We start from the raw sequence: 24781 nt of genomic DNA on the forward strand, positions 1-24781 counted from the left end.
CTACCAAGATAAGCAGCCTTCGTATTCACCGCATTTCCTCTTGATTTGATGCTGATAGCTGGCCGACCCTACCTCTGGCTTCAGCTCTAACGTGGCTTGTAGGAGCAGAAAGCTGATGAAAAATGACTTTTGTTGATTCATTCAGCAGTGAGTTGAGAAAAGCTAGCTGTTGACTTCGTTAAGTAAAATCAACAAAACTTTTCCTCAGCTTAAGCTCTAGATTTAGTTAATGTCATTCAAAATAGATGAAAAAGTAGGCAAAATATTGTGTACCCATTTAGACTCCTTCAGTCAGTACCATGGCTGTTGAGAGGCTGCGAGGACAGTAGAGTGGGTGAGTCTGGACCCTGGAGCTGGACAGTGTGGGTATCAGGTCCACCTCAGCCACTCCATGGACTTAGGTGAGCACGTAACCCCTCTTTAAGCCTACTGTGGCGCCAGCCTGCCAGCTGTGTGGTTTTGGCAATTTACCTGCCCTCTCAATGACTCTGATTCCTCATCTGTGAGATGTGGATAACAATAATAGTCCTGGCCTCGATACAATGCGTGAGGCAATGTGCTTGTGAGGACTTGGTATCTGCCACGTGGTCAATGACTAGGAGCTGTTGCTGTTAAGGATGCAAACGTTGACACACGTCTTCATTAAATTCTTAATTAAATGTCCTTCTCACGTTACTACCGATGGTTTCTAGTGACTGAAAATGTGTGCAGTGGAGGGAAAGGCAGACTATTTTAATTAATAAGCTTTATATAAGTTTTATTAAATCATGAAAAAGGATTTGGTATAGCCATTTTTGAAAGTGGCTATACCACCTTTGAGATCTTCAGCAAGTAAGAAGACCTGTAAAGGGTTCCAAGATGTGCTGGTGCTTACAGGACATGTGTAGGAGATCCAAGGTTATTTCTCCAGGGCGTTCACCATGTAGGAGTTCAAGATGCTAAAGACCCAGGAACCAGGCTCTTTTGAGACCTATACTCAGGCCTAGGCTACAAGAGCATGTTTGTGTTTGAGAGGCATTAAAAGAGTAACGGAAAGAGCACTGGGCTTTGTGTAGAATCCCTCCACTCAACCACTTATGAGATCTATAAGCCTGAGCAAGTTAACTGACTTCTGAGCATCAGTTTATTAATATTTAAAATAGACACAAGGCCTGGTACAGTGGCTCACGCCTGTAATCCTAGCACTTCGGGAAGCCGAGGCAGGCGGATCACGTGACGTCAGGAGTTTGAGACCAGCCTGGCCAACATGGCAGAACCCCATCTCTACTAAAAATACAAAAATTAGCTGGGCCTGTTGGTTCATGCCTGTAATCACAGCTACTCAGGAGGCTGAGGCATGAGAATTGCTTGAACCAGGAGGCGGAGGTTGCAGTGAGCCGAGATTGTGCCACTGCACTCCAGCTTGGGTGACGGAGTAAGACTCTATCTCAAAAAAATAAAAAGAAAATAAAATAGATACAATAATATCTACCTCATAAAGTTGTGATGAGTGTTAAACACCATCGTTAACACATAGTAAGGGCTCAATAAATTTTCCCCTTTCCCAGTGTAATCTCATCTTTTTCAAGAGTAGAAATAGCTCACCTGGTAAACCCAGAAATAGTAAACCAACCAAAGCATAGTCAGGGATAAAAATGATTCAAAATGTGTCTGAATCTACTATCACTCTAAACAACACCTCTCTTCAAAACTTTTGACCTAAAACTATCCCTTATAAATAAATGATGTCTCCTCTCTATAGAGAAGAGATGTCCTACTTTAGAGAAATGACGTCCTCCTACTATAGAGAAGAACTTTTAGACAATGTAGGTGTTGTCTTAAGGAATGTAAAGAAATAGAGACACATCCTAGAGTAGGACTGCACTTCCCAGCAAGACCAGCTTGCTGACTATAAGGAGAGACACACACAAAATATCACCACCTCTTGAGACTTTGCTTCCCTTACTGTCTTGCATTGTTCTGTTAGATATCTGTTTGGCAGGTAAGAGACTGTGTCATTCACACATTACCCAGAATTCATTCATGGAGCTGGCTTACTTTCCCTCCTAATACCTAAATAAAAATTGGTTGCACTGAGTAAGTGCAGGGCTTGAGTGGGGAAGAGGAGAGAAGGTAGTAGAACACCCAAGGAGAGGAAGAGGCTGTATACACAACCAGTGTTGTTGTATCAATGGGAGTAGAGTTAGTGTAGGCTCAGATGAGACTCTGGAAGATGAGATCAAGTGCACCTAGTATTTAGAATAATCGCTTCCTTCATCAGCCCTTGTTTGACTTTTGCTTCTAGAACCTATATCATTAGCAGAACAGCTATTCTATCAATTACTTATAAATAAGATAAATTTTATGGACTAGATAGTATCCTGCCTACCCTTGGAAATATTACTGTATGTAAGTAAGTGTATTTCTAATAACAAACAGCCAACTTGGATATGAATTTGTAAAACCAAGTCTGGTCTTCAACTGTTGTTTGCAGAATATCTAAAACTCGTGACAGCTTGATACGTTCAAATTCCAGATGACCAAAATGAGCCCCTTGTGTTTATCATGCACATGTTTTGTTATAATTGAATGTCAAGTGTTTAAATCCATTTAAATGAAGATCAGAAAGACACATCATCAATTCCAGTAAAATTAATTTGATTGGAAGTAAAGCAAAATGTTTGTTTATTTATATGTGATAAAGCACTTATCTTTGTGTGACTTGGCTTTTATGTGAGCAAGCAGGAAAAAGACAGATATAACCAAAGTATTTTATTAATTCCTATAAGTTATGGATACTGCTGTGTTAAATAATGCACATTGTAAATCAGAATTAAATGCCTTACACCAGATTGGGTTCCAGGAAGATTGAAAGTTAAATATTTTAAAACAAAACAAGTAAACAAAGAAAGAAACATGAATTTAAGATCTATCAAACTTGTGAGGGGGGAGGGAAATTAAAATGTATAAACTCAAGAAGAAATCACCTAATAAAAAAGGTGTGCAGACATTGTTATAAAAATGCAAAACACCTGTACATGTTTAATATAATGTAAGGCAAACAAACCAGAAAAACAGTTATAGCAAGTATTTTATACATAGGCAAAGGGTAATTATCTTTATTATATAAAAATAATCTACCCAACATATACACACACACACACGTACGTACCTAGACTCTTAAACGATTAGGATTGAATAGATGCTTGGAGAAAATACAATTAGGAAAAATAGTCAACATCATTAGATGTTAAGTAAATACAAAATAAAACAAAGTATATAATATTTACTCATCACATTATCAAATTTTGCTTGTTTTAACAATCTTTTTATGATAATACTCTGCTCCTGGGGGTAGAGGAAATAAAGCCTCATTCACTAATAGAGCATTAAGCTACCCAGCCAACCCACGCAGAAAGCAATTTCGTAACATGGATTCAGGTAGTCGTATCCTCTGAGGTAGCAGTTCCCTTTCTCTAAAACTACACTAAAAAAAAAAAATCCCAGATGTAAAATAGCCTTCATATATTCATCATGATATGCTTCATAAAAGTGAAAAATGCCAAACAACCTAAATGTTCAACAATAGAGTGAGGACAAAGTAAAGCCTGATACAGTGAACGAATCTGATATCAGGAGACCTAAAAGTGATGTTTATGGGGACCGTATATGGAAAAGTATATTCTGTATGATTTCCATGTGTTTAACTATGTATTGGAACATTCTGCAAAAGAGACACACAAAGTGGTTGCCTTTGCTCTACAGGAGAAGAGGAAACACATAAAGGGGTTAAGAACCTGGGATCTGAGTCCAAATTGTCTGTTTTTAAATCCTAGCTCTGCCACTTGAGTATATTTGACTTTAAGCAAGTTTTAAGTTCATCGTGATTAGGTTTCTCCCTCAGTAAGTTAGTGGTAAAATAGTACCCTCCTCCTGGGGTTGTTGCAAGGATTAAATTTGCTGCTAACCTAGGCAACACCCAGCATATAGCAAGAGCTCAGTAAGCATTAGTTATTTACTATTTATTTCAGTGATACAAACAATATGGGCAGGATTTTGCCCCACCTTTCTGCGTTTTCCAATTCAACTTTTCTCCTTGACCATATTACTGTTACATTGGAAAAAAGCAATAAATATTTACCTGAAGGCCCTGAGAGCTGGGTCAGCTGGATTTTTTTTAGCCACGTAGATTAAGATTCTTATTAGAATATCACAGTTTAGAGACAAAGAATGGATACTTTATGGTTGCTAAGACCCAAGAATTGAAATTGGAGTTGCAGTGACAATTCAAATGAACTTTGTGTCCCATTTCATAAGAAGTTAAGACAGTTCAGTTTCCGTAAAAGACTGCTTGCCTCCTCTAGAAAAGCTTGTGCCAACCCGGTATCATTCCCGCTTCTCCCCACCAACCCACCACCCCCAGCCTTTAGCTCCTAGTTAACTCAGTGCTGGGCATGCTGCTTTCTCTATAACTTACATGGACTTTTTTAAAAAATGGAATCACATGTTTCAGTAATAATAGCAAGGCAAAAACTTTAAAAACATTTACAACACTGGCATAAGTAAATTTTCTTTGGCAAGGAAAGTAAATTAGGTAAAGGGGAGAGGGAGTAAATTTACACTTTTATTGACACCAATACCTTTATTAATTTCTGAACATTTCAGTAGTTATCATGCATAATTTGATTTAAATGCAAATTTCTCATTCTAAAAAGATTTTAAAGTTTCAGTTGTAGAGGGAAAATTAAGGGGAAAATTGCGTTCTCTTTCCCCTATATTCTCCCACGTTTTCAGGGAAAATTTTGGGGAGAAAATCTCTGCTCATTTTGGAGTCTTCTCTTGCCAGCAACTAACAAGTCTGTACAATACAGTTACCAAGGCAATGTCAAGACCATGTAGACAGAGGGAGAAAATGTGGTGTGAAGACAGGGAGATGATGAAAATGGATTAACAATGTGAACATGAGGGGTTTTTCTAACTGGAAAAAAAAATAAAATCACACTATCCTTTAAAAGTGGTTATGTTAGCAATTCTAACATCTGTTGTTATAAAGGAACTTAATTAAAATAAAGCCTTTTTTTTCTATATCACCTGTTCGTGAATGCTTATTTGTTTCCTAATTATGCCCCAATCTTTGTAACTCTGTATTGAGCCAGGTCAGAATGAGTTCCACTGCATTCAAGTTAGACAAAGGGATTTTTTTACTTGTTGAAACTAGAAAGAGTTTTTTTCTATAAGTTCTATTGAACCACGGATTCAGCCAGACCCTCACAGATAATGACTGCAAAGATAGATACATCTCTTGCTCCCAAAGCAGCACAGATATTTGCTGCTTAAATAAATACAACCACCAGCCAAATACTTACTCATTTTGCTAGGGCTGTTCCTTCTGTTTCAAAAAAGACTCAATTTTTCTTTTTCTTTTTTTTTTTTTTTCCTTCAGGTACAATCCTTGGATTTACCCTCCGACCATACAGAATGAGCTACCGGGAAGTCAAGTACTTCTCCTTTCCTGGGGAACTTCTGATGAGGATGTTACAGATGCTGGTCTTACCACTTATCATCTCCAGTCTTGTCACAGGTACCATAAGCAGTTGTTGGTTTGTTTGGTTTTTTTTAAGTGTGTTTATTGCAAAAGATTGCTTAGAAAAGCCAGTGCTTTAGGTTTCTGCTGGATGCATGCTCTGTTCTAGAAAAAAAAAAAAAGTCCCTTCAAAATGATGGAAAGGAGGCTTTAGTAATGCATGAATGATTATAACTCTCGTATTTTACCAATCACAAGAGGAAACGAATTTAAACAGCCACGTAATCTGGTTCGCCTCACAGTGAACGAGGTGCCCTGCTAAACACCACACCATCAGCCTTCTCTGACCACAGTGATGTAGTTGACAACAGCGTACAACAGGTCTGTTTTCTCACCCTCTTATCCCACCCAGATAACATCTGGTTGGACAGCCTATTAGCTATTGATGCAAGAATGCTTGTTCTCAGAACCACCAGGACTTGAGCGGGAGCCTTCTTGGAAGCCTCATCAAGAGGTAATGCCCACAACACTCACCAACTCTGCTGCCACCAACACTTATCTTTTCCTGGTGTACCCGCATGATTTCATTTCCTTCTCCAGTTGCCTCCCACCCCCGTTACCTTTTATGCTAGTGGGAGAAGGGGGAGGGGGCGGGAGATTTTCCCATCTGAATATTTTATCAGTGGACACTTGGATTTTTAACAAGTGGAAGCTTTGCAGGATAGGATTCTATGTTCTATGACAATGAGATAACCATTTATTCCTGCATGGGAAAAGGTGAAAGAGTCATTTGTCTATGTGATTGGTGAATCAGATGGAGCCAAGAAGTTGCAGAAAAATGTTACTGTACATTCCTTCCTGCCCACTCTTCTCTTTCCCCACAGCACATCTCTGACTTGGAGAAGGAATTTCCATAGACACTGCCCGAGCAGGATGATTTCTGGGTTTGTAGGTAAAGCTCAGAACTCAGGTATTACTGACCCTATTCTCTTTTCCACCCTTGGCTCACTGTTCCCCTGTTGGGCATATACCACTCTACCTCTATGTGAGCTGGCACTGAGAATCCTTCCCATCCCAGGGAGTTCTCAAGGATATTTATACTATCCTTCAAGATCTCTGTGTAATGAGAACTTCATAGTACAACTCAAAAGTCATGGAGGAACATTCTATTACATGCCTTGGAGGGCTGGCTATTACTTAGACAGGAACTATGTCAGATTTTCCCTCAATGCCTTGCAGATCTCTGCTGGTTTCCACTTGTCCAGGGCCTTAAACAAGTGATTGCATGTACATATGCTTTCACTGGAGAATGAATTGCCCATAAAACAGTCCTGGAGTTGATTTGATGTACTTGTTTGTGAAGCTGGGATGGTCCATTGCTGACCAGGGGTAATCACAGCAGCTACAGTTCTTACCACAAAAGCTATATTCATGCTGACATGAGGGCACATGCTTATTTTATTATCCATATGCTGATATTTTTCTGGGAAACAAATTATTCACAGAAAGCACTTGTAAGACAGAACCCACATCTGACATTTTCTGTGGTAGAGCAGAGTCTCTCCTCACCATCCCTGCTGGCAGGGCATCTGGATTAAGTGCCTGCAGTTTTCCTATACACAAACCGAGGGGTTCTGGATCTTTTATACTTTCTCTTCAAGGGTGGAACCAATGTTTAGAGGTATCTGCTTTCTCTTAACTGTGCTGAAAATCCAATGTGTTACTCTTTAAAAGAGAAAAGCCCTTATATGATACAATTAGAGAAGTGTTACTTCCCCTTAGCAGCAGTCCCAGTTGATCACCACCTTGAAGTGGAATTTCCTGATTTTTCTTAATACCTAATAACAAACAACTTTATTGAAGAAATAAGAACTTTGGTTGTGTAATTTTTCAGAAAAAAAAATACTATGATGCAATCCCTTTGCATGGCTAAAGAGAAATTTTTGGTCAAAACTTGGAAAAATTGTTAACATTTATAATATTGTTAAAGAGAAAAGAATTATAAGCTGCAAACAACTAATATAAAATGAACTTTTAAAACTGTAACCTAATTGCAAGTTGGGAGTGTTGCCAAATTGGACCATTAAGAGAGTTTTAGCTCTTGTCCAGGACTGTGCTAAGGCAAGGAGTCTGAGGGGCAGAATTTAGTTCGCCAAAGATCTTTTTAAGGTGTTAGTCTGAAGTGAGTAATTTCCAAACTACACAGTAATTTAGATATTTATGATCAAATGGAATGAATGATGGATTCAGTAAGAATGTCCTTTATGGTTTTGAATACAATAATTCTAACCCAAATGAGGGTATGACCCAGCTATAATGGGAAGGGAGGAACTTCTACAAATTACACAGACCCCTGGAGGATCCCTGTGTATACTGGGAAATGTTACTGGAGAATGTGTTGCCTAGGGAAGAAACAAAGGCAGGCTCCATTGCTTTAGAGTGGAAAGGCAACCTCAAATGCCTCCAGTGGCCACGTGGGTGATGCATGTACATGAAGCTGCCCTTTCAGGCTATTTTTTGTTTTCCTATTTTGATAGAGTCATGGATACAGAGAAATATTTCTCTTCAACAAGAGAACTAAGAGGGACAAGTATGATGATAAACGGAGAGGGACCCAACTACAGAATAATATGGCAAAAGGCAGGCAAAGAGACTATTGAGACAAGGGCCAGATCTTCCTGTTTTTCAAGAGTATCCAGAAATCTCAAATTTTTTAAGAACCTGCAGATTCTTTGATACAATTCACGAAACAAACCAGTGCAAAGCAAACGCAGTACACCCATTCCAATGTAATTCCAATGGCAGGCCCATTCCAACCCTCAGACTACCAATATTTGAACTCAGGTTTGAATGTCAGAATCCAATCATTGGCAGTCCTGTGCCAAAGCTTAACTGATAATGTGGAATTCACTACTGAACATCATGTTTACTGCTGACTAAACAAATTGCTATTGGAAAGCCTCTTCTCTCCATCTTCTGGGTATAACTGCATTGTGTAGTAGCCATTCTGGTCTTTTCTGCACCAGAAGGAACACTGGAGTAAGAACTCAGAGGTCATGCTCCCATAGGAAATATTTCCCAGTGGGGAAATACTTTATAGACTTGTTTCTCCTAAGTTCAGTTGTCCCAGGGTCTGTAGACAGAAACTGAAATGCATAAAACTATTATTGTGTTTCTTGGACTAAGCTTTTTATTGTGGAAGATTCTAGAAAACATGCTATAAGTTTAATTGTACTAAAGCCACATTTAAATTCTGAGACATCTAAGTTATATTTTTTACTTGAAACATCCGTGTTTATGAGTTGTGGCTCTATAGCCCTTGTAAGCCATGTTCCCTTTTCCCTGAATTTGAAACTCCAATCTTTCCAAACATCCCTGGTGTGTATTAGCATTCCAGAGGCTGCCAGAAAGAAGCTGGGAGGAAGCCTAATGGCTAGATTTGTACTCAAGTACCTATTTTTTGGACAAGAAGACTATGTCTGTGCCAACACACCACACAATAAAATAGGGGTTTGGTGCCAGTTTCTATCGATTTGGTCAGGATGGGCAGCCAAACTAGAAATTTCATGCCAGAAATATGAGTTGGTTTGGCTGACTTAGCCTGATTAAATTCACTGGATAATAATTAAATGTCACATCTGGTTGTGCAGGGTAGACATAACTATTACCTCCTCACTTCTGAATCTTTTCAGAAACTAGTGCTTTCTTCTTTTCTCATTCTAAGTGTGCATTCCCCCTCAATCACTTACCTCAGAAGAAATCTTTGGTGTCACCCCAGTTTTCTGGAAGTGGGGAGCACAACTTTTGACATGCAATCTCTGTGGTGTTGGGCATGATGTAAGTAAAAGAGGTGAGAGAGGAGTGTCAACACGAGTAAAAGCAACAGTGTCTGGGACGTATGGTAGGGCACCCTCGAGGCAGGATTATCAAGTAGATGAAATTTCTCATTTAACATTCATTCATTCTTTAACAGCTGTTTATTGCGCTTCTACTATGTCAGACACTGGGGATACATGAACACAAAGATACAGTCCCCAAGAAGATGTATGTTGGGTGCTGAGGAGAGAGCTTCCCTGCATCCCTTAATTCACATAATATTCCAGTTCCAACTAAAAGGAGATAAGACTCGTTCTCTGTACTCCCAACAAGAAAGTGACAAGCTGATTTTTAAGAACATGATTTCAAATCTGATTTTCATGACACAGCATCTCCATCCTAAAGTCAACTAGCCCAGAATTTTCCATCATAGGTACCATCTCAGTCTCATTTACTTAATATTTTCTTTAAACCAACATACTCTTCTTCCACAGCCTACAATCATTACCCAAAATGGAAACCTCCTATTACTTGTCATGTGAAGGAGATAAGTAACAATGTTATGAAATTGTAAATTGATGCAATTGCCTAACAAAGGCTCTGGGAGCCTGAGACCCGACTCCCCCGCTCTTGTAGTATTTTTAAATGGCTGGGCGTCGTGGCTCATGCCTGTAATCCCAGCACTTTGGGAGACTAAAGCTGGCAGATCACTTGAGGTCACATGTTCGAGACCAGCCTGGCCAACATGGTGAAACCCCATCTCTACTAAAAATACAAAAATTAGCCAGGAGTGGTGGCGTGTGCCTGTAATCCCAGCTACTCGGGAGTCTGAGGCAGGAGAATCACTTGAACCCAGGAGGCTGAGGTTACAGTGAGCCAAGATCGCGCCACTGTAGTCCAGCCTGGGTAACGGAGTGAGGCTCTGTCTCAAAAAAAGAAATATAAATAAATAAATAAATAAATAAATAGAGGGGATTAGCAAATGTTAACAAGGTGTTAAACACACATTAGTACCAAAATAAGACTTTGCCTTTCCTGTAATCCAAAGAATCAAAAGAGAATTGAAAAGAATGACTTTCTCACTGTGATTTAATATTAATTAAGGTAGGATTTCCACACCACCAGAACACCTATCCCACTTTGGAAAGCACTGATCTGGTGGTCCAGACATTCCTGCAGTGTCCCTTCCAAATGACTGTCCAGCTTCTTCCTGAACATATCTAAAGACAAGAGCTCTTTGGAACCCATTTGTCCTTAGAAAACTCTAACAATACTTTTTTTTTTATCCAAAATAAAACAAATAAATTTAAAAACCAGAAAAACAAAACACAACACCTGCCTCTCTGGTCCTCTCCTCTCCATGTGACAAGCTCTATGATGTGTCACATATTATTTGGGCAGCTTCTTTTCAAATCTATAGACCAACAACTTCAGTCAAATGTGGGACTCAATGACTGTTGAAGGCAGTGAGCTAGAATCACCAGCAAAGGGCTTTCTTAATTAAAAATAATAAATGTTGTACCTCAAAGTACGGTCCTTTGGCTTCAGAGAGATGACAGTTACAGTAAGAGTGAACTAAAGTTTTGTCATTTCGTGTAACACAAAAGGGCTAGACAATTCTTAAATCTTCGCATCTGAAGGGTTTGTCAAGGGCTTGCAAAATGAGTCGAAATCACTTAAGAGAAATTTAATATCTTAAACTATGCATTGCCATGGCTCTGGTGTATGTCTGAGGCCTGTTTGAATACTCTGAGCATTTATGGACAAGAAAAGGAGCTGTAGATTTCACCACCTGCCCCCCTCAACACCTACCCGTACGTTGTATTGAAAAAAAAAAAAAACAGTATCTAACGCAGGGAGGAATTTCTTTAGGCTTCCCTTTCATTCTCTATAAAATGTAAGTGATAAGATACCTGTGTCACAAGGTTGTTGTGAGGATTTATGCCTGGCACATAGTGTGTGCTCAATTAATGGTAGCTGTTGGCGGTAAGAGTAGCAGCAAGAGCTGTCTTCTGGCGGTTCCCATTGTATAAATGAAAATTCTAGAGCAAGAAGACAGAGCTTCAAGTCAGGGACACGGAACTAAGGCTCCAGATTTCACAAGTCTCATTTGTCTGTGATCCCTGAAGCAACCACTTTCCTATTAAGGTAAATTGAAGAAACCATAAAATTAATCCGGTAACAACATGGGAGCCAGCGAGAATTCCTACCTCATTACTGGAAGGGATAGGTTTCTGCCCTGCGGCATGGAATTCGATTACCTTATCACAGCTGCATAATTGTAAATATTTTCATTGGTTATACAACTGCTGTGTCTTTTCTGAGAAACTCAGCCCCAATGTGTAACACCCTGGATTCCACGGGGCAGCAAATTCCACACACTGCACCCATGTTGTGAGCGGAGATTTTCGGGCTGACCAAAACTTGAGGCGAACTGAGTCTCCATCTTAACACTCAAACACACTTCATGGCGGCCTGGAAACAAGGCAATCATTATGAAGCTTCAGCCCAGTTCTTCTGAAACCAACGTATTGGGCCTGCTTCATTGTCTCTCTAGGGGCTAATCACAAACATGTGGGAAGGGAAGCTAAGGAATGCCTGTCTAGAAAGGGAGGTTGTATAATGTAGTGGGAAGAACCTATCTGTGGGGTAAACTTTTTTTGCATCATGTAGAAAGCAAATCTGGGTAATTAAATGTTTGTGTGTGTGTGTGTGTGTGTGTGTGTGTGTGTATTTAGGTTTTGGTGAGGTATAAAGCCATTTAAGTCTAGCTATACCAAAAAGAATTTACCTTTCCATTACAGATGATTCATTCAGTAAGCATTTGTTGAGGATCTTTATATGCCAGGTGCTTCTCTAGGAGCTGAGGATACCAAAATGGAGAAGACAAGATTTCTGCCCTCAAGGCGTTCAACGTCTGGTTGGGAGATGGACTCATGATTGCAGTATTCATGGTATCAGTGACATGGGTAGTATCATCTCAATGAAGGAACAACTTAGGGAAGGAACGATGCACCCGTCTCTTGCCCTGCCTCTCCAGTATTCGGGCTTCCTTGCTGGGAAATAACTCTATTAGCAGAGAAGAAGGGGGTCTTTTCTTTTTCTTTCTTTCTTTCTTTTCTTTCTTTCTTTCTTTCTTTCTTTCTTTCTTTCTTTCTTTTTCTTTCTTTCTTTCTCTCTCTTTCCTTTTCTCTCTCTCTTTCCTTTCTTTCTTTCTCCCCTTCCTTCCTTTCTTTTTCTTCCTTTCTTCTTTCTTTTTTTTTTTTTTTTGCCCTGAATTGTTTTCCTCTCACCTGAGTCTTTCACCATTAAATGCAGAAAGAACCAGAGGTGGGGCCCTGTGAAATTCCCAAGAAAAGTCAACCTGAGGAACATGGCCTCACAAATGGGAAGTAAAGGAGAAAAGGTGCTTGACAGGCTTTCAACGACAGAAACCTTCCCTTTCGAAGGGAGCTTGCAGGAAGGGAGCCAGGAGACCTGAGGATCTCTGGGCTCATGCAACCTTGCTACCAGAGCAGGAATCCCCTCTCCAGCCCCTGGAAAGTGGCCATGGAGCTCCCCTAAATGGTCCATTCTTAGGTGGTCTCAACTACGAAGTCTGTCTTCTGTGAGGTCCACCTATTGGTCCTAATTGTGTTATTTGGCACAATTAGGATGGCAGTCTTTCAGATGGTCTCAGGGGAGCACCTAGCAGTCTCTTGGGCACCTAAGCATAAGCAAAGTGTCCCAGTGCTTCTTCTGTGCCTGTTCTCCAGGACTTCCACCATCTTGATTGCCTCTCCACCATCCACTGTGCTCCCAGAGCTGATCCTGGTGCTCCAGATGTCATGTGACTGGGTAGGGACAGTGGTCTAGATCCAATCCTCTATTAATGCAGGCCAAGGTTGGGTCCGCTGCTTTACCAGCCACGACAAACCATTGGCTTAGAGGAGTTAAGCTTGTGGTCAACTAAATCCTGCAGAACTGAGTGTGGAAAGATTTTTGTGGCAAAAATGGAATTGTTCTTCAATTAAAAGATCAGTAATAAAAGGCATACGGCTTTGTTGTGAGATGCTGCTTTCCAGAAGGCTTGAGCCTGTGTGAGTTAGAAATTCTTATTTGCTAATTTCAGCAGCTTCAAGTGAGCCAGAGATTTTGATCAGTTCTCGTTTGGAAGAAATTTTTGAAAAATTTAAAGAAAAGGTAAATAAGAAAGGAAAATTTAAAGCTTCCTTTATCTCTAGGAAAAATAAGATTTTCCACCCTTAAATTATCAACTTAATAAATCTCCTTCAGAATGCTGTGGAACTGCAGGTTTCTTCTGCTGATATCATGGTTTCCAAGAGAGTGAGTTACCTGGTTAATTCTGACTTGGAGGTTTGTGCCTAAGGATTGGAGGTGGCAGGTTGGGGTTGGAGGTGGGGAATACTTCCGAAGTGAGACACTGTCTTAGGCTCTTCTAATTTCTAGAGCTCACATTCTGAGAGGATGCACTGTCCCATCAGATTAATTGCACTACATAGAGGTAGTGCCCAGCTTCCAATCCCTGCCCCCCACCCCAGAGTTCTTTAATTAATTGATCTGAAATGGAGCTTGGGAGTTGACATTTATTTGTAGTTCTCTAGATGATTCTATTGTGCACCCATGGTTGAAAACTACCACTTTACAGTTTTTCTAGAATTGTTGTTTTCTGGCGCCACAGTCCCCCACTGTTACTACTTTAGTTGATACCTTTATTAGTTCAGATACCCCCTCTTCTAGGAAGCCTTCCCTGGCTTTCCCCTGCTAATACAGGGTCGCAGAGGTGTAGATACGTTTCCACCTTATCACAGTTACTGCATCACAATGGAATGCACTGTTAACATGTCTATCTTCCTCATAGAGGCTTCTTGAAGGTACTGTGTCTTTATCTGGCACATTCTTTGCATTGCCTAGAGGACAGAGTCTGCATTCTTGGCAGGACAAATAAGAGCCTTAGCAGCCTTCGCAAGCCCCTCTACCAGCTTTATTGCCTGCTGCTCTCCTGGCAGAAACCCTGTCCCTCTCTCAACGTCCTAATGCCCTCAGCACTTCATCCTTAGTATGCTTCCCTCTTCCCTAGCTCCATCAGAATTCTTTACCTACTTCAAAGTAAATTGAAAGCTTAGCTTTCAATCTTTCCGTAAAGTTAGCCCTATTGATCCCTCCCTGGAGTACCTGTCACTGTCACTCATACATTACCAGCACATGCTGTCATGCTCCAAACTAAACTGGAGGGTTCCACTAGGACCATGTTTGATGTATTTTTGTGGCATCTGGAGCAAAGTTCATCCTGCCTGAGAAGTGTACCATTTTTAATGGTTTTTTGTTTGTTTGTTTTTGAGATGGAGTCTCGCTCTGTCGCCCAGGCTGGAGTGCAGTGACGCGACCTCAGCTCACTGCAACCTCTGCATCCCGTGTTCAAGGGATTCTCCTGCCTCAACCTCCTGAGTAGCTGGGACTACAGGGGCCCGCCACCACGCCCAGCTAATTTTTGTATTTTTAGTAGAGACGGGGTTTCACCATATTGGCCAGGCTGGTCTCGAACTCCTGACCTTGTGATCCACCCGTCTCGGCCTCCCAAAGTGCTGGGATTATAGGCATGAGTCACCGCGCCTGGCTAGTTATTTTTAATCACAAAAGCAATGCATTCTCTATTAGAAATGACACATACAAATATTGATGAGCATAAAGTAAAAAGTGAAATGCTACTCTGCAAAGGTAACAACCGTTAACAGTGCTAGACCTGTTGCTGGAGAAGCAGTGTGTGGTAGGGAATAAGTGTTCAGGCTAGAAGGACTGAGTTGGAAGCCCAGCGTGGCCACTTCCCAGCTCAGTGACCTTCGATGGGCTACTTTATCTCTCTCTGCCTCAGTTTCTTTATCTACACGATGGGGATAATAGTAGTATCTACCTCATTGGATTGTTGTGAATATGCAAGTTAATACACATTAAACATACTGCCTGACACACAATCGCTGCTAAAACATCGGCACTATTAATCTTTCACACGCTTTGTTAAAAGCTTACACACAAATATACCATTGTTTTTATGAAAACGGAATCATATGTATTGTTCTGTAATATGCTTTATTTGGATAGTATTCTCCTATGCAGATATGTCTTATCACTGAATGATTAGGGTATCTCTAATATTCTGCTCTTTCAAATAATTCTGCAGTAAACTTCAGCATGTATGTATCTTTGTAGTCTATTTCTGAATGATTGATGACTAAAAGCAGAGCTGTTAGAGCACCAAGCATGTGCATGTAAAATCCAGAGAGATGTTGCTAAATTACCTCCCAAAATTATTCTCCCAAAAGGATGCTGTTTTCTCCTACTCCTTCAGAAGATATTCTCCACTATAAATTCCATACAGTTTTATTTAAAGTCATTTTTATTACTCGGGTGGTGCATGAATGCTTACTATTTGTGTAAGTAAAATAGAAAATGCTATATATAAGGGAAAACATGAAAGTACGCTGCGCATGCACGCACGCACACACACTCACAAACATGAAGACCCCCACTACATTCACTCTAATTTGAATAGACTTCTAAACTGATTACCCTGGAAATGACTGGGAACCCGCATTCCGTTATAAAAAGACTCTGTGCACCATAAAGCCAAGTAAAAAGATGCTGGAGTTTCTGCTAGCAGAAATAGACAGAGAGAGAGAGGAAGAGGTGGGGGCGGCTGGGGGAAGGGTCTATATCCAGATAAGGATTTCTGTGGCCATGTCATGAATTGTATGCCTCCAGAGGACAGTTCTGTTTTTTCCCTCTGTTTGGTATTTGGTGGTCATTTCATGATAAGCAGAAAGAAAACTTTGGGATAGTGCTATTCTCTGCTGAAGGACGGATTTACCTGAATGATCTTCCAATTTTGAGTCTGGGTAGAATCTAGGGTCCTAAGTCTTAAGTGTCTGCAAATTCATTTTACCAGGCAAGATAGACTTCTTTTTGCTTCTTCATGGTGAAGATCCTTGCAATAATCTCAGATCCTCAGGCTGGAAGCCGGTGCATTACCCCATGATGTACTTCTTTCACTAACCCATCAACTTCTATACTACCAGTGTAACACTCTTCTCAACCGGACTGCCTCATATGGGGATATAGGCTTGCCATCTTTGTGTTTATTTTTTAAAACAATTGTTTGAGTTTCCATCCAGGTTTTCTTCAAAGGGAAGAAATTTCCCCTAAATTACCAAGCCAGTTTCCTCTCATAAGGCATTGGATTAAGAGTGGCCAGTAGCTGAGTTTTGTGATTCTGAGGATAAGTAATAAGTCAAAAAGAGCTGTTGGCTAATCCTTTAGAAGGATACTAAAAGAAGAGTAAGATGATCGTAAGCTTCCTAGATCCAGGCTGTTAAAATGACCTCCATATTACCAAGACTTGTCAGTACTGTTAAGGGAAAAAAGAGGGGAACCCCTATATATAAAACCACAATCTTGTTTCATCTATAATACCCCTGGTCCCCCTCCTTCATCTACACTGCCACCCCCACCTACACCCACCACTTGATCATTTTATAGCAGATATTTTATTACATTTTTGAAAGCAAAGGAAACATAAGACAGGTGTACTATTTTAAGATTATATTAACATATTTCATGTTTCTTTAATGCCCCAACACACACACACATACACACACACACACACATACACACACACCAAGAGCTGATCACTTGAACAAATCATTAACCAATTGACTTGCTTCCCATTTCTGGTATAAGCTTCTGTACCAGTGCTTTATATTAATTACCAAAACCCTCCTGCAGACAGAGCATGATACATCTTTAGTATAGGATGATGCAATAAAATGTTTATGCTGTGAAATTTGGGGACAAAATTTTTCATCATGGCATAATGTGCATGTATGGGCACACATAGCTTTGTTTGTTTATTCTTTTTTCAGAAGTCCTTCCAATTCTAAAATGTATTGTAGTCTGACAGTGCCTCTAATATTGGTAATTCTTTTTAAGTTTATAACTTTTCCCGAGTTTGTTTCTGCACTTTAAGGTTTCTTAACTAGGTTATTTCTAGTTGAGCTGTAATTTCAGTGTATAGTTCTCCAGAGTGTTTGTGCTAAGTGCTGAAGTTTCATTATTTTAAAGCTACCTCCCTGAAAGTATATTACAAATGTTCTACAATTGTAATATAGTGATTCACACACAAAAAAATCCCTATTATCAGCATACCTAAACTACACACTAAATATTTAAGAAAAAAAAAGTGGAAACATTAGTAGCTTTTATACTGGAATCTTGCCATTTCTTTTTCAATTTAGAATAGAATTTGGTTGTCTTATCTTGGTACTCTGTGCTTCATGACATATCTGAAAGCATTCTTTTGGCATGGATCTGGAAGATAGTTTTAGAGCCAGACATCAGTGTAGTAGTTCTCAAGATACTGAAAATTCATAACATTCTTATGGGTATAATAAAAAATGTTTACATATTGAATTCTATGAATTCTATAATATAAAGTAGGAGCACACTTACTATGTGAAATATAACTCCTATGCAATATAAAAGTAAAATTATAAGCATATTTCCATAAACAGTAAAAGCTATTAAATCTAAGCATGATTGACAATTTCAAATGTTCCAATATCATTTAGGCATAATACTTCAAAGATTTCAAGCCCTTTTTCTGCTAGCATTCAGAAAAGTAGAGGACAAGAAAGGATGAAGAAAAGCTTACAGTGAAAAAATCTTAAAATTGAGAGAATTCAATCTATTAACTTTAATCTATAAACCTTTTTTCTCCGAACTGGGTACATTGGCATCATTATTTGATTTTAGCAGCAAACATTTGGGTTTAGCTTATGGAAGGCAGATGTCCTGTGGGAACGTGACTTGAAGTCACCATATAACTTCCCGCTAAATAAACATCTGAACTGTAACTTGACAGCTACCAAGTGAGGTCAAGTGTCTGAAAGTGCTGTGTACACCACATAAGCACGTTTTCCTTATGTGAAGGATGCATTTCTAGCAATGTGTATCAGACTTTCAAGTACTCAAAACATACTTGCTGCCAAACTTTGCCACCCACCACTAACCTCCATTTGATCCTTAGAAGGTAGAAACTTATTTTACAATAGAAAAAGAGATTATTTTATTTGTATGATGTCCCTAAAATTATTTCTTGGTATTGATAGACCTAGGTTTATCTTATTTCAAGTTTGCCTTATTTTTTAAGAGGTTTATTGAGATATAACTCACATACATGCAATTTACCCATTTAAAGTGTACAATTTAATGGCTTCTAGTATATTTACAGAGTTGTGCATCCATCATCACAATCAATTTTAGGACATTTTTATCACCCCAGAAATAAAGCCTGCATTCGTTGGCCATCACCCCCCGATTCCCCCAAGCCCTCAGCCCCAGGCAAACTCTAGTCTACTTTCTTTCTCTATAGATCTACCTATTATGAACATGTCATGTAAGTGATATCATTCAATATATGGTCCTTTGTGACTGGCTTTTTTCACTCAGCACAATGTTTTCAAGATTCATCCATGGTGTTGTATATATCAGTACTTCGTTCCTTTTTATAGCTGAATAATAATATGATACATACATATTGCATATACATGGACATGTGATATGTCCATATAATGGAATACTACCCATTCATATAATGAACATATCACATGTCCATATTCCATATATGACATGTCCATATAATGGAATATTATCCATTCATTAGTTAGATATTTGGGTTTTTCCTATTTTTTGGTTTGGTTTGGTTTTTGCTATTATAAATAAGGCTGCTTTGAACATTCATGGACATACATTTTCATTTCTCTTGTGTATTTACTTAGGAATAGAATTGCTGGGTCATATGATAACTCTTCTTAGCCTTTTGAAGAATTACCATGCCATTTTCCAAAGTGGCTGCACTATTTTACATCCCCAGCAGCAGTGTATGAGTGTTCTAATTTCTCCACTTTCTTACCAACACTTCTTATTATCTGTCTTTTAGTTATTATTCATCTTTTTATCAGGGTGGGTATTAAATGCTGTCTCACTGTGGTTTGATTTGCACTTCTCTGAAGGCTAATAATGTCAAGTATATTTTTATGTGCCTATTAGTCATTCATACATCTTCTTTAGAGAAATGTCTATTCAGATCCTTTGCCCATTTTTTAATGGGGGTGGCTTTTTGTTATTGAATTGTAATCGTTCTTTATATATTAAACTTACACCTTGTAAAAACGCTGGGCACTAGACTATACAGGGATTACTGTACCACTTGTCATAAATCATAGCTATGGTCCTCCTTGAGAAGAATTCCTTACTGTAGTTAACACCTGCTCTAAATAAGCACTCTGAAGTGCTTCTTACAAAGGGTAACGTGGGCCAGGCACGGTGGCTCACACCTGTAATCCCACCACTTTGGGTGGCCGAGGCGGGTGGATCATGAGGTCAAGAGTTCGAGACCAGCCTGGCCAACATGGTAAAACCAAGTCTCTACTAAAGATACCAAAAAATAGCCAGGCGTGGTGGCATGAGCCTGTAATCCCAGCTACTCGAGAGGCTGAGGCAGGAGAATTGCTTGAACCTGGGAGGTGGAGGTTGCAGTGAGCCAAGATTGGGCCATTGCATTCTGTTAAGCCATTGCACTCCAGCCTGGGCAACAGGGCAAGACTCCGTCTCAAAAAATAAATAAATAAATAAATAAATAAATAAATAAATAAATAAATTGCAATGTGAATAATGAAACATCAGTGAAAATAAGTAGTTTTATATTATTATGTACTTTTGAAGTAAAACGTCTCCCCCCACCCCCCATAGCAAAGAGATATAATAGCCAAAACCAAAAAGGAAATACAGTGGGATGTCGTTAGTAATACCTTTTGTTTGTCTTAGGTGTGAGAGGATTCTTGCTCTTATCCGTGTGATACATGTTTTGGCTAAAGCTTTGAAGTCATAAGATATGTAGTCTAGGTATTGTAATTGTGCATTTCATATTTCAAAAATTGTAAAATTCAAATGTTAAGTCTTTGGCTACACTAAAATAATTGTTGAAATCCCTTAAAATGTAGATGGTAAACTCATCAGTTATAACTTTTTGTTGCACTAAAATATGAGTTTATTTCTTTAGTTGTAGTGAATAAAAATAAAGTTAATTACAAAAGTAAAGCAGGTAACACAACTATTTGAATATGCTTAACACTATTGAACTGTACCTCTAAAAATAGTTAAGATGGCACATTTTATTATGTGTTTTATACCATAATTAAAATTTTCAAAAATAAGGCAGATATAAATATTTTAATGTCAATTCTTTTGAGTGGACTATTCTAAATGATTATTTGCTTATCAGTCTAACTTAAGCACAGTTAATCACTTTTACACTGCTTTGAGTTAGATAGCTGCTCCCTATCCTAAATTTTACTTTCTAAGATGAGTAATACAGATACTCAAGTTAACCAGGATGTTAGTCTGTGGGTCAGTGATCAGGTATCTCCAAGTCAAGACATTCCTCAGCCGCCCCTGTGGTTGTCCTGTGAGGTGGTTGGTGGTGAGGGTGGGCCTGGGGGGAGACAACTGCAACAGGAGGACCTCTGGATTACATACCCAAGTTCCCTCTCAGGAATGTGGATGCTAAAAGTGAAGTGCTGATAACAAATCTCACTGGTATGAAGTAGATTTTACAAGCTGCTTCAGTCTCAGGCTATATCTCAATTTATGGGGCGGCGTCATTGCTGAAAGTTCTGTGTAGGTCTTTTACCATAGTATTGAATTTTACATTCATTATAATGCTTTTTATTATGAGCTCTAATTCCAAGTTAGTTATTTTTAATTCAGAAAGAAAGTAAATATTTGCTTTCTGGAGGTAACTGCACTTGAGTATCTGCAAGGAGAGCCCCTCAAGTTCTGTTTTTGGGGATCCTCCCCTTTTGAAAACACTAATCGGACCTCAAAACCAGATTTTATCTTTGAGGACTGACTTCCGCTGCCTTTTTTTTTTTTTTTTTTTTTTTTTTTTTGATAGAGTCTCACTCTCACCCAGGCCAGAGTGCAGTGGCGTGTTCTCGGCTCACTGTAACCTCCGCCTCCCAGGTTCAAGCAATTCTCTTCCCCAGCTGCCCAAGTAGCTGGAATTACAGGTGCCTACCACCACGCCCAGTTAATTTTTACATTTTTAGTATAGACAGGTTTCACCATCTTGGCCAGGCTGGTCTTGAACTCCTGACCTTGTGATCTACCCCCACCTCGGCCTCCCAAAGTGCTGGGATTACAGATGTGAGCCACCGCGCCCGGCCCTCCATTGCCTTTTGACCATCAACAAAAAAGGCCAAAGTGAAGCTTGCTGGAAAGGCTTTGTAAGCCAACCATTCTCAGTAATTTTGGGGTTGTTTCATTCGTCTTTATTTGGACGAGGTTAAAATCAGTTGCACATTTGTACTGAGCATTTTGGAGTCCTGTTATTTGAATTATCCATTATTTCCTATATAATTGGAGAGTTAGGGTTAATGTTTTCTTCTATCTCATGTCTTGAATTCCCAGCAGAGGCTACACAAAATTTACTTCTACTTCATATACCAGTTTATCATGGTACAGATTATTGCTCATTTTTATTCTTGAATAGAGCTACAGGCCAAGCAACTTCTTGCATTGATATTGATGTCTTCTTTCACATATGTAAGTAATATATGTAGTGATTACAAGACATTCCTTTTGTTCATTAAAGAAAACCCCCAGGAGACTCTTTGGAGTAAGCTATGGGTAACCCACTGAATACTCTTTAAAGAAGCAAACCTATATCATTAAGGGAAAGCTAAAGATACGTAAGTTTTTTGAAGTTGACATCAAGGAGGGCAGCATTGCTTGGCTGGTGCAACTGCCAAAGACAGGACAGATTATTGGTCTGACGAAGGACAATCTGGAATTGTAAAGAACGCTGATAGAATATTGCATGGACAAGTTTAGATAACAAGGGCTGGTATTTTTCACTAACACTTGGTTTCCTCTGTGTGTTTTGCTTTTTCAGATTTATCTTTTCTGTGTTGAAATCCACACAAGGGACATAAAATAACCCTCAAAAAAATATAAACACAATATCCAAACCTTTTGGAAATTTAAATGTTAAGTATTATTCAGTAATGTCTGCCCACTGTAGTTGGACAAAACCACATTCAGGTCTATGTGTCAGCTTTGTCCCTCAGCCCTGTGATTTGCTTTTGGTGGCTCAGGGCCAGCTCTCCAAGGGCAAGCTCCATGAAGGCAGACAGTGCGTCTCCATTTTGATGAAGGCTTGCAGTCAAGGTCCTCAGTGTGTGTTAGAGAGGCATAGAGCTCTGCAAGGGTAAGTTCATGTCTATAACAATAATTGACCTCCCTAGTGGAAAGACAGGATTTTCCCAAGGAAAATAGTTTGCGGTGTCATATTTGTGGTCTCTCTAGAGAGACAATTCCGTAAGTGGTTCCTAAGCCTTGGAAAATTCTCTTTTACAATAGTACCCACAAATAATGTTCAAAGAGCTATTTTTGAGGAAAGGATTCCTCACATTTTTGCAGGTGTAAGTCATTCCTGCCTCAGTGGAGTACAAAGAGTGATGTGAGGGAAGCAGAGCTGCTGGCAGGAATTTTAAAAGTATACTATATTTGTCCCACATTAACTGTGCTTCTGGGGTATAAAGGTCAGGGATAGAACTGGTCCTGTGGGATGTTTCTCATCGAAACCACCTCTATTCCAAAGCCTTGGTGTCACTAGCCAAGATGTATCTATTCTAATAAAATATAGGTCTCATATGACACCACATTACAAAATACAAATTTTCATTTGTTTTTGTTTATCTAGTCTATTGGAAATGTGTGGTTCTTTTGTAGTTTCAGTTAAGAGTCTAATTTGGTCATTTGCCTCTTAAAATACTCTTCAAGTCCTGTGAGTACTCAACAAACACTCACTGTTGACCAATTTCTATTTCCAGCCACATACTGTTCATAATGAAACCTACTTAGAGGATTTGAATGAAATAATTTAATTATTTTCAATGTACAAGAGGCAAAATTATCTGCCATGAATTTCTCTGGAGTAAAGCATCCTCAGTCCATCCAAGTAAATGTTTCCATTTTTGATGTTCAATCAAGAAACATTCAAATTCAACTGTATTTTTTGTTAAGAAGAATATTTCCTTTGGCATTCAAAATGATCCCAAACATTGCTTGGAAGAGAGAAGTGGGGAGAGAGACCACATGTATTAAAGCACATTTAACCAATTTTACTTTGGCACATTTTGTTTTGCCATTCCACCTATCAGTCTTCTCACAACCGAAGAGCACTTATAAACATTAAGATAGAATTTTAATCTTTCATGGAAGGAGCTTTTTGTCAGCATTGGAAAAAGGGAGATTTGGGTCAAATTTTGACTGAAGGGCCATTTCCTTAGCAAACATCCAGACTCCAGGGATCCATTTTGTTTTATTTTTGCCATTGAAAACTGTTTTTGAGAAAAGGCAAAAGTCAAAATTATTAGGCTTTAAAAGACAGCAGTTTCTTTTATCACAATTTGCCACACTAACTTCGTGGCTTCTTGTTTGTTTGTTTGTTTATTGTTTTTAATTTATTCCAATATTTATTGGGAGGAGACTAAAATCAGCTGTAAGTGTATGGTGAACATTTTGGAGTTAGGGTTAATGTGTAAGCCATTCTGCATTTCTTTCATCACTGAGATTTTTATTTAATTAACGCATTAATTATCATGAAGCTTACTATTTGGTGTCTGCTTATCTCTTTTTTTGAGGACCAAGCATATAAATATGCGAGGAATAGTGTTTTATTATTCTAAATACCTTGCCATTATTAAGAGTTTTTTTATGATTATACTGTCTCAATGTTGAAAGAAAAATTTTTAAAGATTTGCATTTCAATTTTTTTACCTATAGGCAAGACTGTACCACTCTGGGCAACAAACTTAAGTTTCAGAAATTTAACTTAGGAACTTTTCAAGGAAATTTGAGATTTGTGTCAAGAAACCTTTTTATTAACGATTAATGTAAAATTTGGAATACGGTTCTTAAGTTAATGTGAACCTGCAAAATCTACCATTTTTGCCTCCATAATAAGTCAGACCTTGTACAACTTAAAAATGCATTCTGTCCCACGTTTCATGCTGTCCCTTCCTCAGAATAGTCTGGGAGTTCAGCTTTTATAACCTTTGGTTGCCCTTGGAAGGTATTTATGGCTTGGATGGGCTTTGTTCATAATCACTGTGTTCTTGTAGGATAACCCCCCTGGCCTTCTTGTGACACTGAGCTACTGATAACAACTTCTCACGTGTACAGATAATCCAAATCCACATTCAAAAAGTGCAGCGTCATCAAGACAGACTTGAAAAGGCTTTTTTAGGCATCAACAGGTCATTAAAGATAGCACATCTCACCATTTTTCCCTTCAACTACATACATTGTGAAGACTTAATGGGGGAAGGTGTAAGATTTTGATCT

General features: G+C 39.0%; 1 protein-coding gene across 13 annotated transcripts in view, besides 1 other annotated feature; it reads left to right on the forward strand.

Annotated features, from left to right (window-relative positions):
* SLC1A3 (solute carrier family 1 member 3) overlaps nt 1-24781 on the forward strand; it is a 91747-nt gene that overhangs the window by 27440 nt on the left and 39526 nt on the right. For 9 of the 13 annotated variants that reach the window (NM_001438455.1, NM_001438456.1, NM_001438454.1 and 6 more), the window contains one exon: nt 5423-5560. The exons of 1 other annotated variant lie outside the window; for it this stretch is intronic. In NM_001438455.1, coding sequence (NP_001425384.1) covers nt 5423-5560 — 138 coding nt within the window. Of the gene's footprint in view, nt 1-5422; nt 5561-5915; nt 6018-6387; nt 6474-24781 lie in introns of all 13 variants that reach the window. 3 more of the 13 variants (NM_001438460.1, NM_001438461.1, NM_001438462.1) reach the window with 3 other exon arrangements.
* Nucleotides 22019-23218: an enhancer, noted in NCBI's record as "CDK7 strongly-dependent group 2 enhancer chr5:36646148-36647347 (GRCh37/hg19 assembly coordinates)". NCBI's record gives its function as "activates an origin of replication core promoter dependent on BRD2, BRD4, P300/CBP, MED14 and CDK7 cofactors, with strong dependence on CDK7, by STARR-seq in HCT116 cells {active_cell/tissue: HCT116}" and the evidence as "EXISTENCE:reporter gene assay evidence [ECO:0000049][PMID:35650434]".

This window comes from Homo sapiens, chromosome 5 (assembly GCF_000001405.40).
Source record: "Homo sapiens chromosome 5, GRCh38.p14 Primary Assembly".
NCBI classification, from domain to species: Eukaryota; Metazoa; Chordata; class Mammalia; order Primates; family Hominidae; genus Homo; species Homo sapiens.